Source organism: Homo sapiens, chromosome 17 (genome assembly GCF_000001405.40).
Source record: "Homo sapiens chromosome 17, GRCh38.p14 Primary Assembly".
NCBI lineage: Eukaryota > Metazoa > Chordata > Mammalia > Primates > Hominidae > Homo > Homo sapiens.
The window spans coordinates 47,146,291-47,158,826 of NC_000017.11; the positions used below are offsets into that span (position 1 = coordinate 47,146,291).

Here is a 12,536-nt window from a genome sequence, read left to right on the forward strand (position 1 = left end):
GTAGCCAGTTGGTCAGAAATGTGGGTGGCCTGGGGAACCCAGAACCTACAACTGGGCAGTTCAGACAGTTCTTGTTGGGGACTGTGATCTTAACCTGTGGTGTCTGTGCTAAGTTTGGGTAGTTAGCATCAGAATTACATTATAGTACTATAGTGAAGAAACTACCCAAAGCTGGGGAAAGTATTACTGAAAAGAAGCAGACAGAATAATTACTGGATCTCACTCCAAGCTGGGAATAGCTCATACTTTCAATAGGCAGAGTGAAGAAACCTCATACTAAACAGGTTTTTGAGGAGAGTACTCAAAGGGTACTTCCTCAATGGTGGGACAAGATTAGTCCAGACTAAGGCTACTTTTGTCTGGACAAAATTTAAAAGGTAAGACCTGAAGGGATCAAGCTGTTTCCAAGCAACTTTACTGCATCTCAGAATAAAACTTTAAAATACCTAAAGGAATGCAAAAATATCCAGTAATCAACAATGTAAAATTTATAGCCAGGCACAGTGGCTCACACCTGTAATCCCAACAACTCGGGTGGGTGAGGTGGGAGGATTGCTTGAGGCCAGGAGTTTGAGAACAGCCTGAGCAACACAGCAAGACCCCATCTCTGCAAAACTAAAAAAAAATTAGCCATATGTGGCACGTGCCTATAGTTCCAGCTACCCAGGAGCCTGAAGTGGGAGGACTTCTTGAGCCCAGGAGTTTGAGGCTGCACTGAGCTATAATCACACCACTGTACTCTAGCCTGGGCATCAGAGTAAAAGACCCTGTCTCAAAGAAAAAAAGTAAAATTTATAATAACTGACATCCAATTAAAAAACACTAGGCAGCCGGGCGCGGTGGCTCACGCCTGTAATCCCAGCACTTTGGGAGGCCGAGACGGGCGGATCACGAGGTCAGGAGATCGAGACCATCCTGGCTAACACGGTGAAACCCCGTCTCTACTAAAAATACAAAAATTAGCTGGGCATGGTGGCGCGCGCCTGTAGTCCCAGCTACACGGGAGGCTGAGGCAGGAGAATGGCGTGAACCCGGGAGGCGGAGCTTGCAGTGAGTCGAGATCGCGCCACTGCACTCCAGCCTGGGCGACAGAGCGAAACTCCGTCTCAAAAACAAACAAACAAACAAACAAACAAACAAAAAAAAAAACACTAGGCATAGAAAACAGCAGGAAAATATAATCTACAATGAAGAGGAAAAGTAATATAAGAAACACTTAGAAATAACAAAGTAACAGACTTAGTAGGCAAAAACATTAAAAAAATACAAATACATCCTATACGTTCAAAAACATAGAAGAGACTGGATGAGGTGGCTCATGCCTGTCGGCCCAGCACTTTGGGAGGCCAAGCCAGGACTGCTTCAGGCCCGGAGGTCAAGATCTGCCTGGACAACATAGCAAGACCTTGTCTCATAGAGACCTTGTCCTTGTCTCTACAAAAAAATAAAAAATAAAAATAATCAGCCACATGTGGTGGCATGTGCCTGTAGTCCCAGCTACTCAGGAGGCTAACGCAAGAGAATCGCTTGAGCCAAGGAGTTTGAGGCTACAGTGAGCCATAGTAGCATCACTGCACTCCAGCCTGGGTGACAGTGAGACCCTGTCTCAAAAAAAAAAAAAAAAAAAAGGCTGGGCGCGGTGGCTCACACCTGTAATCCCAGCACTTTCGGAGGCCAAGGTGGGCGGATCACGAGTCAGGAGTTTGAGATCAGCCTGACCAACATGGTGAAACCCCATCTCTACTAAAAATACAAAAATTAGCAGGGCGCAGTGGCACATGCCTGTAATCCCAGCTACTCAGGAGGCTGAGGCAGGAGAATCGCTTGAACCCAGGAGGGGCGGAGGGTGCAGTGAGCCAGATTGTGCCACTGCACTCCAGCCTGGGCAACAGAGCGAGACTCTATCTCAAAAAAAAAAAAAAAGAAAGAAAGAAAACCAAATCAATCTAGAGATGAAAGACAAATGTCTGCAATAAAAAAACAAAACAAAACAAAAAACCCAACAACACTGGGTGTGGTTAATAACAGGTCTGACACTGCTGAAGAAACATTAATTTGAAGACATAGCAATAAACACTATCCAAAATGAAACACGGAGAGGAGAAAGATTGGAAACAAAAATGAAGAATTAGTGAGCTGTGGGGCAACTTCAAGCAATCTAATATACAAGTACCTGGAGTCCCAGAGGGAGAGGGTAAGACATGGACATAATATTTGAAGAAATAATGCCCCCAATTTAGCCAACTATTATGAAAACTATAAACCCACAGATCCAAGAAGCTCAATAAATCCAAAGGCCGAGAAACAACAAAGCTACACTAGAGCACATCATAATCGAATTGCTTAAAATCAGCAATTAAAAACAAAACCTTGAAACAGAGAAAAGACATATTACTACATATAGAGGAACAAAAATGAGATTGACAGCAGATTTCTTGTCAGAAACAATATAAGCCAAAAAACCAGTAAAGCAACATCCCTAAAAAAATTGTCAATTAGAAATTCTTGGCCAGGCGTAGTGGCTCATGCCTGTAATCTCAGCACTTTGGGAGGCCAAGATGGGCGATCACCTGAGGTCAGGAATTCAAGACTAGCCTGGCCAACATGGTGAAAGCCAATCTCTACTAAAAATGCAAAAATTAGCTGAGCATGATAGCACATGCCTGTAATCCCAGCTACTCGGGAGGCCGTGGCAGGAGAATTGCTTGAACTCGGGAAGCAGAGGTTGCAGGGAGCCAAGATTGTGCCATTGCACTCCAGCCCAGGCAACAAGCAAGACTCTGTCTCAAAAAAAAAAAAAAAAAAAGAAAAAGAAAGAAATTCTTGCCTAGTAAAAATATTGTTCAAAAATAAAGATGAAATAAGAACTTTTTTTCTGATCCACAAAAGCTGAAAAAATTCATTACCAGCTGACTCGTACTATAAGAAATGATAAAAAGGCCAGGTGCGGTGGGGCTCATGACTGTAATCCCAGCACTTCGGGAGGCCAAGGCAGGAGGATCACAAGGTCAAGAGATCGGGACCATCCTGGCCAACATGGTGAAACCCCGTTTCTACTAAAAATACAAAAATTAGCTGGGTGTGGTGGTGCACACCTGTAGTCCCAGCTACTCGGGAGGCTGAGGCAGGAGAATCGCTTTAACCCAGGTGGCAGAAGTTGCAGTGAGCCGAGATCGTGCCACTGCACTTCAGCCTGGTGACAGAGTGAGACTCTGTCTTAAAAAAAAAAAAAAAAAAAAAGAAATGTTAAAAAGAAGTCCTTCAAGGTGGAGGAAAATGATATCAGATCGCAATCTGGATCTATAGAAGGAAAGGGCACCAGAAATTGTAGTTATGTGTGTAAATATAAAATAGACTTCTTTTTCTCATTTAAAAAAATTTCAGCTGGGCATGGTAGCTCATGCCTGTAATCCCAGCACTTTGGGAGGCTGAGGCGGGTGGATCATTTGAGGTCAGGAGTTTGACGCTAGCCTGGCCAACATCGTGAAACCCTGTCTCTACTAAAAATACAAAAATTAGCCGGGCGTGGTGGCACATGCCTGTAATCCCAGCTACATGGGAGGCTGAGGCAGTAGCATTGCTTGAACTGGGGAGGTGGAGGTTGCAGTGAGCCGAGATTGCACCATTGCACTACAGCCTGGGTAACAGAGCGAAACTCCGTCTAAAACAAAAACAAAAACAAAAACAAAACTCTATAAAAAGACAACTGACTGTTTAAGGCAGAAACCACAACCACAATAATGCACTGTGGGGTTTATAACATATATAGAAATTAAATATATTACAGCCATCCCTCCCATAAAGACTAAGAGAGGAGCACGAAAGTATACTATTGTAAGGTTCTGTGCTATACATGAAATTGTCTATTACTTGAAGGCAAACCTTGATAAGTTAAAATGTTTACTACAAACTCCAAACAACCTTTAAAAAGACAAAATAAAGAGCAATTGCTAATAAGGCAATATTGAATTGTACCTCCCCAAAAGATATGTTGAAGCCCTAAGCCCCAGTACATGTCAATGTGATTTTATTCAGAAATTTGGTTTTTGCAGATGTCATTGAGTTAAGCTGAGGATATCTGGGTTGACCCTAATCCAATATAACTGTTGTCTTTACAAGAGGGAAATTTAGATACAGAAACACACATGGAAGATGACCATGTGAAGACAGAGGAAGATACTGAGTTATACTGTCACATGCTAAAGAACACCTGGGGTTATCAGAAGCTGGAGGAGGCAAGGAAAAATCCTCCTCTAAAGATTTTGGAAGGGGAACAACCCTGCCAACACCTTGATTTTGGACTTATGGCTTTACAACTGTAAGAGAATAAGTATCTGTTGTTTTAAGACACTAAGTTGTGGTACTTTGTTATGGCAGCCCTAGAAAACTAATATAGGCAATTAAGGAGATAAAATGGAATCAACAATACAAAGAACACAAAATTATTAAGAGTGAATGTTGGCCAGGCACGGTGGCTCATGCCTGTAATCCCAGCACTTTGGGAGGCTGAGGCAGGCGGATCACCTGAGGTTGGGAGTTCGAGACCAGCCTGACCAACATGGAGAAACCCTGTCTTTACTAAAAATACAAAATTAGCTGGGTGTGGTGACACATGCCTATAATCCCAGCTACTCAGGAAGCTGAGGCAGGAGAATCACTTGAACCCGGGAGGCGGAGGTTGTGGTGGGCCGAGATCACACCACTGCACTCCAGCTTGGGCAACAAGAGTGAAACTCCATCTCCATAAAAAAAAGAGCTGATGTTTATTAGTGTTAGTCTATTTGTTTGACTCTAAAGTGAAATGTACAAATCGGAAATTATTTTTACATATAATGTTGCTTTGCAGGAGGTCTCAAGTTCCTTCTCACAACAGAGCCTCAGGCAATCACTGCAAGCTGGCACTCAAGAGGATTAGACTTACCATTCTGGGAGCATTACAGGAACATAGAGGTCTTTTAGATAGTCAAGGAGGTATATGCACACCTGTGTGTATGTCTGTTTTAAAATTTAGGTACATGTTCACAGTTTTAGAAAGGAGAAAGAAAATTGTATCTTCCTTTTAAAATGTTAGCTATAATCTATTGAGTCCTTGAAGAGGAAAAGAAAATCCTATCTAACACCATTTCTGTGTGGAAATAGATTCATTATTTGAAGTTTATTTGTCTGTTATTTTTATAATCTGTTTATAGACATGCATAATGTGGGGAAGGGGAGTATGAAACCTATCTGTACCTAAACTATAGAAAGGGTCATGTGCATAAGAAGAAAATTACAAATCCATGAGGCAATCAGAGTAAACTAAAATGCTGCTTTAGTTAACTATTGTCTTCTGTGCATTACAAAACTCAACTCAAAATTACATTAGTGTTGTAAGTTAGAGGTTTCAAATTTTACATCTTCAAAATTTACAGTAGTTATTCTAGAATCCACGAGAGTCACTATCTGCCTAAATTAAAGAAATGTAAAGAATCAAGTTTTATGCCAAGAAAAGTTGAATAATTACAATGATAAATACCTTGTTTGTGGACCAGAACTTTGTGTTTGTGCAAGAATTGGAGTTACCTCTCGGCTATTTCCACTCTGTGAGAAGACAGACTTTGTTCCAGTTTGGCCGATTCTGGCAACAGACTGTAAAACACGAAAAGTCTAAGGTTTGTGAATTATGGGCTGCACTGTAAATGATAAAAGACAACACAACGCTCCCATCTACATTTTCTCAATACAAGCAGCCATAATATACTGTCACCTTAAAGATAAACTATTTATATCATATTGTTAATTATTGTTGTATTAGTATGAACATCAGTCTATTTCCCTGTTTTAATCTCACAGTATTTTTACCTCTATAATGTCTTTTCATCTTTCGCTTTTTGTTTCAAAGACTAAAAATCCCCAGAAGCTATTCTTTTCATCTCATTGTGACCATCCTCCATTTATTACATACCTTCTCTATTTGGGGTTAAGTACTAAAAAATTTTAAGACAGCTAAATTCTCAAGATTTATGATTTATCTCATTATACACAGAAAAAAATAATAATACGATAAGATTTTATACTCCTTTGGCACTTGGTAACAGTTCTAAAGGAGTTCAGAGGAGTAGATTTTAAAAAAACAACCATCTGATTACTTTCCAAAACCTAAGGATATTGTTCTTTAGAGTTAATATTGCTTAGTTTTTCTAATCTTCATTAATTGGTTTCTGTTCCCTTGGAGAAAAAAAAATCTTTGCTTGGCTCTTCAGTCTTCTCTAATTTATTCCCTTATTTCTATTCATTTCCACCATCTAGCTTCTTTAAATGATCTATGACTATTGTATCAGTGCACTGTTTTTCCCCTTTGGCTACCAGAGAATTTTCTTCAAAACTTACTGTTACCCTGATGTCCTGTACACAATCCTCAAACTGCATATTATAAATAATCACTAATAATCACTGTCTCATCAGATATTAAAACCTTATTTTAGCCTTTCCTGCATTCAACATCACTGATCATGCCCTACTTTTTGAAACTTTGTGTTACTTCCAAAACATTACATTATTTGTCCTGCCACTTCATTTGCTGGCCCTTTATCCTTCTACTATTTTTAAATTAGGTTTACTCTGTTCTCCTTAGCTACTCTTTCTTTCCCTAGGAGAGCCTGGTCATTTTAATAGTTTCAATTATTATTTCTATCAGCAGGTCACATTTTTTCCTCTATGACTAACTTTCTACTGAATATTTTCATCTAATGTACCACCACTTCAAAATAAAACTTCATAAGCCTTCCTCCGCCTTTTCCAAATTGGGATCACTACATTCATCCAAGGGACAAAAGTCAACTCTGGCTTTTCCTTATTTATCAAAGAACTATGTACACTGCACTCAATACCTGGTTTGATATTTTCAGTTGACACTGCATGCAGACCTACATGCGTGACTTTTCTGGGAATGTCTTGTAATAAGGTAAGAGGAGAACAGAGGCAGAAGAGGATGAGAGAGCAATCTTATCTGGGCACTAAAATCATGTGCCTGCCCACTGTCTTAACTTGCTCTGGTTATTATGGTTATTATGGCTCTTCTAGTTTTGGCCTACTTCACCTGGCATGCTAACTACCATTTTGTTTTGCCTTCTTCATAACTGTAATGTTTAAAACAATCCATACACAAACTATTTTGCAGTCCCTTTTAAGTATTCTTGGAGTTCCTATTATCACTCACTAAGGAGTTATTATAGAAAAATCTTTTGCAGATTCTAAGGATGTTCAGGAGTAAAATAGTAAAAAAACAACTATAAGAAGAAACATGTTTCTATTAAGGTAAAGAGAGTATAACTGTTATTCACATATTAGTATGACTTGTTTAGCTTCCATTTCTTGAATATTTATGAAGCATGGCAATAGGTATTTTATATATAGAACCTAATTTAATTCTCACAGAAGTTACCTTGTGCCACAGATATGCTTTTTAAAAATGGTATTTTGGCCTCTATTTCCATATACCTATAAAAGGGAACATTATAAAACAAGAGCCTCAGCAGGGCAGTGACTCATGTTTATAATCCTAGCACTTTGAGAGGCCAAGGCAGGAGGATTGCTTGAGCCCAGGAGTTTGAGACCATCCCTGGCAACACAGTGAGATCCTGTCTCTACAAAAATAAAAGTTAAAAAAATTAGCTGGGTGTGGTGGTGTACACCTATAGTCCTAGGTACTTGGGAGGCTAAGGTGGAAGGATCACTTGAGCCTGGGAGGTAGAGGCTACAGTGAGTCATGGTCACACCACTGCACTCCAGCCTGGGCAGGAGAGCGAGACCCTGTCTCAAAAAAAAAAAAAAAAAGCCTCATGAAACTTGCCGCAATATTTACTATAAGTATACTACCAAATATTTTTCATTTTCATGTTAAAACTATACATCCATGATCTACCAAAAATCTTATTATCAGAAATATCTGGCTTTACCTGAGCAAATTTTTTTTCATATAATTATTAGTGTTATTAAAAAAACATATATACACAGTGGTAGGGACAAGTAAAAACTATGGCAGACATAATTTCTGTTATTTATAGTCAAGTAATATAAACAATATTAATTTTGTTTTTTAAAAAGGAAATTAAAAAGTAAAAATATGATTATGTTTATTTAACTATATGCTGAAATAAACTAAATTTGTGAGATACAATCTTACTTGGCCAAAAGAGTAAGAAGTCTGTCTCCTACTGTAACCAAGAGGCTACAACAATAATGACATTCTTTTATATTTAGATCACCCTCTACCTGCTGGGTTCAAATATAAGGCAAAAGCAATTACATAAAGTAAGATTTTCCCTGAGATTACCTTTAAAAGATTGAAATAAACAAGTTGCTTTAATCAATTCCCAAACTGCATTTTACATGGAAAATACCTTTTTTGAAGGGGCTCCGGTGGATGGCACATCAATTACAGGAGGTGTATTAGTGTAGTTTTGTAAATAGGATCCATCTCCAGGACTTGGGGTTTCTAATGGCAAAATCCCAAAACTGAGAAGAGGTTGAAATCAAGGTGTCAAAAAGTCATCAAGGCATATATAAAGCAGCAGTATACTTAAATTAGAAGGTCTAAAAGGAAGAGAATGGCAAATCAGTCTTAGGGACAGTGAGGATCTGAGGGGCAGATTAAAAATAAGCTGTGAATGTAGACTATTCCACCCACCATAACTAAAATTTTAAAAAGCTATCAAACAAGGAACTAAACTGAGCAACAATTACTGATCTCAGGAGATTTATTAGAAATAAAGAAGAGTAGCTTTATAAATCTAAGATCCAAATGATGAGATTACTTCAAATTCTTGGAATTTATGGGATTTAGACACAACTACAGAGAAAATGTCTCTAGAGACCATTAGATAACTATAACTCTCCAGAGTTGTAATCTCATGGTCATGCTATTTTAGTAGTTCCCCGGCCTCAGGACCTGATTCATAGAATTTCTTCTAGCATATATGTATATATTTTTTTGAGACAGAGTCTCGCTCTGTTGCCCAGGCTGGAGTGCAGTGGCATGATCTCAGCTCACTGCAACCTCCACCTGCTGGGTTCAAATGATTCTTGTGCCTCAACCCCCAAAGTACCTGGGATTACACGTATGTGTCACCATGCCGGGCTAATTTTTGTAATTTTAGTAGAGATAGGGTTTCACCATGTTGGCCAGACTGGTCTTGAGCTCCTGGTCTCAAGTGATCTGCCCACCTCAGCCTCCCAAAGTGCTGGGATTACAGGCATGAGCCCCCATGCCCAACCCATTCTAGCACATAATTTTTCATTTTGATACTTTTGGATATGTATCCTCTGGGCTGAGTTCCTGTATTTATACATACATATACTTCTAATAATTTTGATAAAATATTTTATATTAATAGGTGTGACAGCTAGGTTCAGTGGCTCACGGTAATCCTAGCACTTTGGGAGGCCACAGCAGGAGGATCACTAGAGGCCAGGAGTTCCAGATCAGCTTGGGCAACACAGCAAGACCCCATCTCTACAAAAACACTTAAAAAATTAGCCAGGTGTGGTGGCATGTGCCTGCAGTCCCAGCTACTCAGGAGTCTGAGGTGGGAGGATCGCTTGAGCCCAAGAATTTGAGGCTGCAGTGAGCTATGATTGTGCCACTGCACTCTAACCTGGGTGACAGAGTGAGATCCTGTCTCAAACAAAAAAAGGTAGGTGTCAAATTTCCTCCATGTTTTGGAAAAAGGCACTTTAACAGTAACCAGTGGTGCCCTGATTATAACATTTCATGAGGCTCACCGCTATCCATTAATGCACAGCCATAAAGACAGTATTTTTTAATGTGTTTACTACCTAATTAAGGAATATTTCAGAGTTTTAAATTTTCCTCCAATTTTTTTTTTGAGATGGAGTCTTGCCCTGTCTCCCAGGCTGGAGTGCAGTGACACCATCTCGGCTCACTGCAACCTCTGTCTCCCGGGTTCAAGTGATTCTCTTGCCTCAGCCTCCCGAGTAGCTGGATCTACAGGCGCGTGCCACCACACCCGGCTAGTTTTTTGTATTTTTAGTAGAGACGGGGTTTCGCCATGTTGGCCAGGATGGTCTCGATCTCCTGACCTCGTGATCTGCCCACCTTGGTCTCCCAAAGTGCTGGGATTACAGGCGTGAGCCACTGCGCCTGGCCAGTCCAATATTCAATATCAATTTTTTTTGAGTTGGAGTCTTGGTCTGTCGCCCAGGATGGAGTGTAGTGGCTCCATCTCGGCTCACTACAACCTCCGCCTCCCGGGTTCAAGCAATTCTCCTGTCTCAGCCTCCTGAGTAGCTGGGATTACAGGCGCCCGCCACCATGCCCAGCTAATTTTTGTATTTTTAGTAGAGACAGGGTTTCACCATGTTGGCCAGGCTGTTCTTGAACTCCTGACCTCAGGTGATCTGCCTGCCTTGGCCTCCCAAGGTGCTGGGATTACAGGCATGAGCCACCGCACCTGGCAACATCACTATTTGCCAGTTTTTACTTCATTTTCTGAAAACAGAATGCCCCTGTTTCCACAGTGATTTAGAAGTTGCTGTTGTAATAATCTGCATTACTAACAATATGAGTTATCATAAGATCATTTGGTATTATAGCACATTTGAAAGTATCTTGTTTGACTTACCTTGGGGTTAATGGACTAAGAGCTGCTGGTCCTCCTAATAAACTTCGACCAGTTTTTGGTTTATTTTGAACCTGTTTAGATAATATGGAAGTTCCTGTTCCCAGTGGGACAGTATCAGGTGAAATTACAGCTGAATCAATATAAGACACTGAGGAATCTGTATTCAAGGAGTACTTTGAATTGGAAGATTCTAAATTCAATCTGTTTAATTCCTGAAACAGAAAATTTCTACCAAGTCATTCACAATATATTATTTAGTTCAGATCATTCTTTGTAGTTTTCATAATATTTTGAACACTAGAATATAAGACACTTACAATTGTGTCCTGGGGTGTTTCCGTAAGAACTGTCTCAGGCTGTCTGTGAGATAAACTATGATTAGGTACTTGTGTTGTGCAAGAGTTGGGCAGACAGTTGCTAAAGTTCTGTAAAGATGTGAATTTAAATGTTTGGTCAGGATCTGGCTTTTCACCTGTGAAGACAAAAAAAAAAAAAGTTTGTCTCTGAGGAAGTGAGGAATACATGTTTTTCAAGTATGCATAAATCAGTGGAAACAGGAAATAGGCCTTATCCAAACTTTAAAAATCTCCTGTCCACTTCTGCTAATCAAATTTACCCCCAAAAAACCCATCTATCAATATATCATAAAAGTTTACCAGTAAGATAAAGCTGTAAATGAAAATAAACTACAAGAACACTAATTTTAAACATAACAAATCGCAGAAAAATGCAGATTTCTGTGTTTGTTTTAAAGCTGAAAATAACTAGATCTCATTTTTCTCAAAGTAGGAGATGAGGTTGAAGAGTTAAAACCCATCATATTTTACAGTAAAGGTTGAAGCCCTTCTATATATACATAGATGCAACAATGCTGAAAAATGGTCCTTTATGTATCCTAGGCCAAATATACTGAGAAATTCTCTCCCTGTACTGTTCAGGTCTTGTAAGTTTCAGGCATTTATTAATTGCATTAGAAATTTTATTAATTTTCTTATTCAGAAAGCAATTTTGCTAGTGTTAAACACACAATATAACCCATTCTAGAGGACACCAGATACTTGAAAATAGATTGGTTCAACAGAAGAATCTACTGGATTTAATCTTTGTGTAATTTTCAGTTATATGATTCTTGAAACATACCGAAGATTCTAACTTATTTTTTATTCTCAATTTTAACTTTGAAAAATATTTTTCTTGGGGGTAGATGATCTGTATTGCTCTCCAAAAATTAAGTAGCAGGAAAAAAAGAAGAGGAGATGGGAACCCACCCACCTCTCAACCCCACCCACCTACCTATTTCACATAATGATTCAAAGGGAGACCAGAGGAAAGGATTTAAACTAAGGCTCTTTTGGTAACATTCTGATCCTTTGGCAAGCCGATCTGTCTTGCTGTGGAGAGAAACAAGTAGATTAAATAAGCTACAAACCCCAAAACCTGTATCATAAACTTTTAGTATAAAAAATTAGGTAAAAGTTACAGAAGTTCAGAGAGCACTCTTTGTGATGCTTCTCTAAGTTACCAATTTCTCCCATCTGCTAATCTCCAAATCAAGTGAAAGCGCACAGAACATGAATCAAAAGAAATGCTTACAAAACAAACTATCGTTGCCTTCTTGAATATTACTATTACTTTAAACTTCCTGTCAGATACTAGAGTTATTGAGGGAGATGTGAAAAACATCCAAATCCTTCAGTATTATTCTTAATTTTTTTTTTTTTTTTTGGACAAGGTCTGGCTCTATCATACAGGCTGAAGTGCAGTGGCATGATCTTGGCTCACTGCAACCCCTACTTCCTACGCTAAAGCCATCCTCCTACCTCAGCCTCCTGAACAGCTGAGACTATAGGTGCGCACCACCATATCCGGCTAATTTTTGCATATTTTGTAGAGACCAGGCTTCACCATTGATGC

General features: G+C 39.4%; 1 protein-coding gene across 18 annotated transcripts in view; it reads right to left on the reverse strand.

The window, feature by feature from the left end:
• The window catches only part of CDC27 (cell division cycle 27), a 71,593-nt gene that overhangs the window by 28,588 nt on the left and 30,469 nt on the right, over positions 1–12,536 (reverse strand). For 9 of the 18 annotated variants that reach the window (NR_148340.2, NM_001353050.2, XM_047437230.1 and 6 more), the window contains 5 exons: positions 11,916–12,013; positions 10,940–11,094; positions 10,623–10,834; positions 8,382–8,496; positions 5,516–5,646 (listed from right to left, as the gene is read on the reverse strand). Coding sequence is in view for 16 of the 18 variants with exons in the window: in NM_001353050.2 (NP_001339979.1) it covers positions 5,516–5,646; positions 8,382–8,496; positions 10,623–10,834; positions 10,940–11,094; positions 11,916–12,013 (711 nt within the window). In the remaining 2 variants the exon portion in view is untranslated. Of the gene's footprint in view, positions 1–5,515; positions 5,647–8,381; positions 8,575–10,622; positions 10,835–10,939; positions 11,095–11,915; positions 12,014–12,536 lie in introns of all 18 variants that reach the window. The other 9 variants (XM_017025485.3, XM_017025484.3, NM_001353049.2 and 6 more) reach the window with 2 other exon arrangements.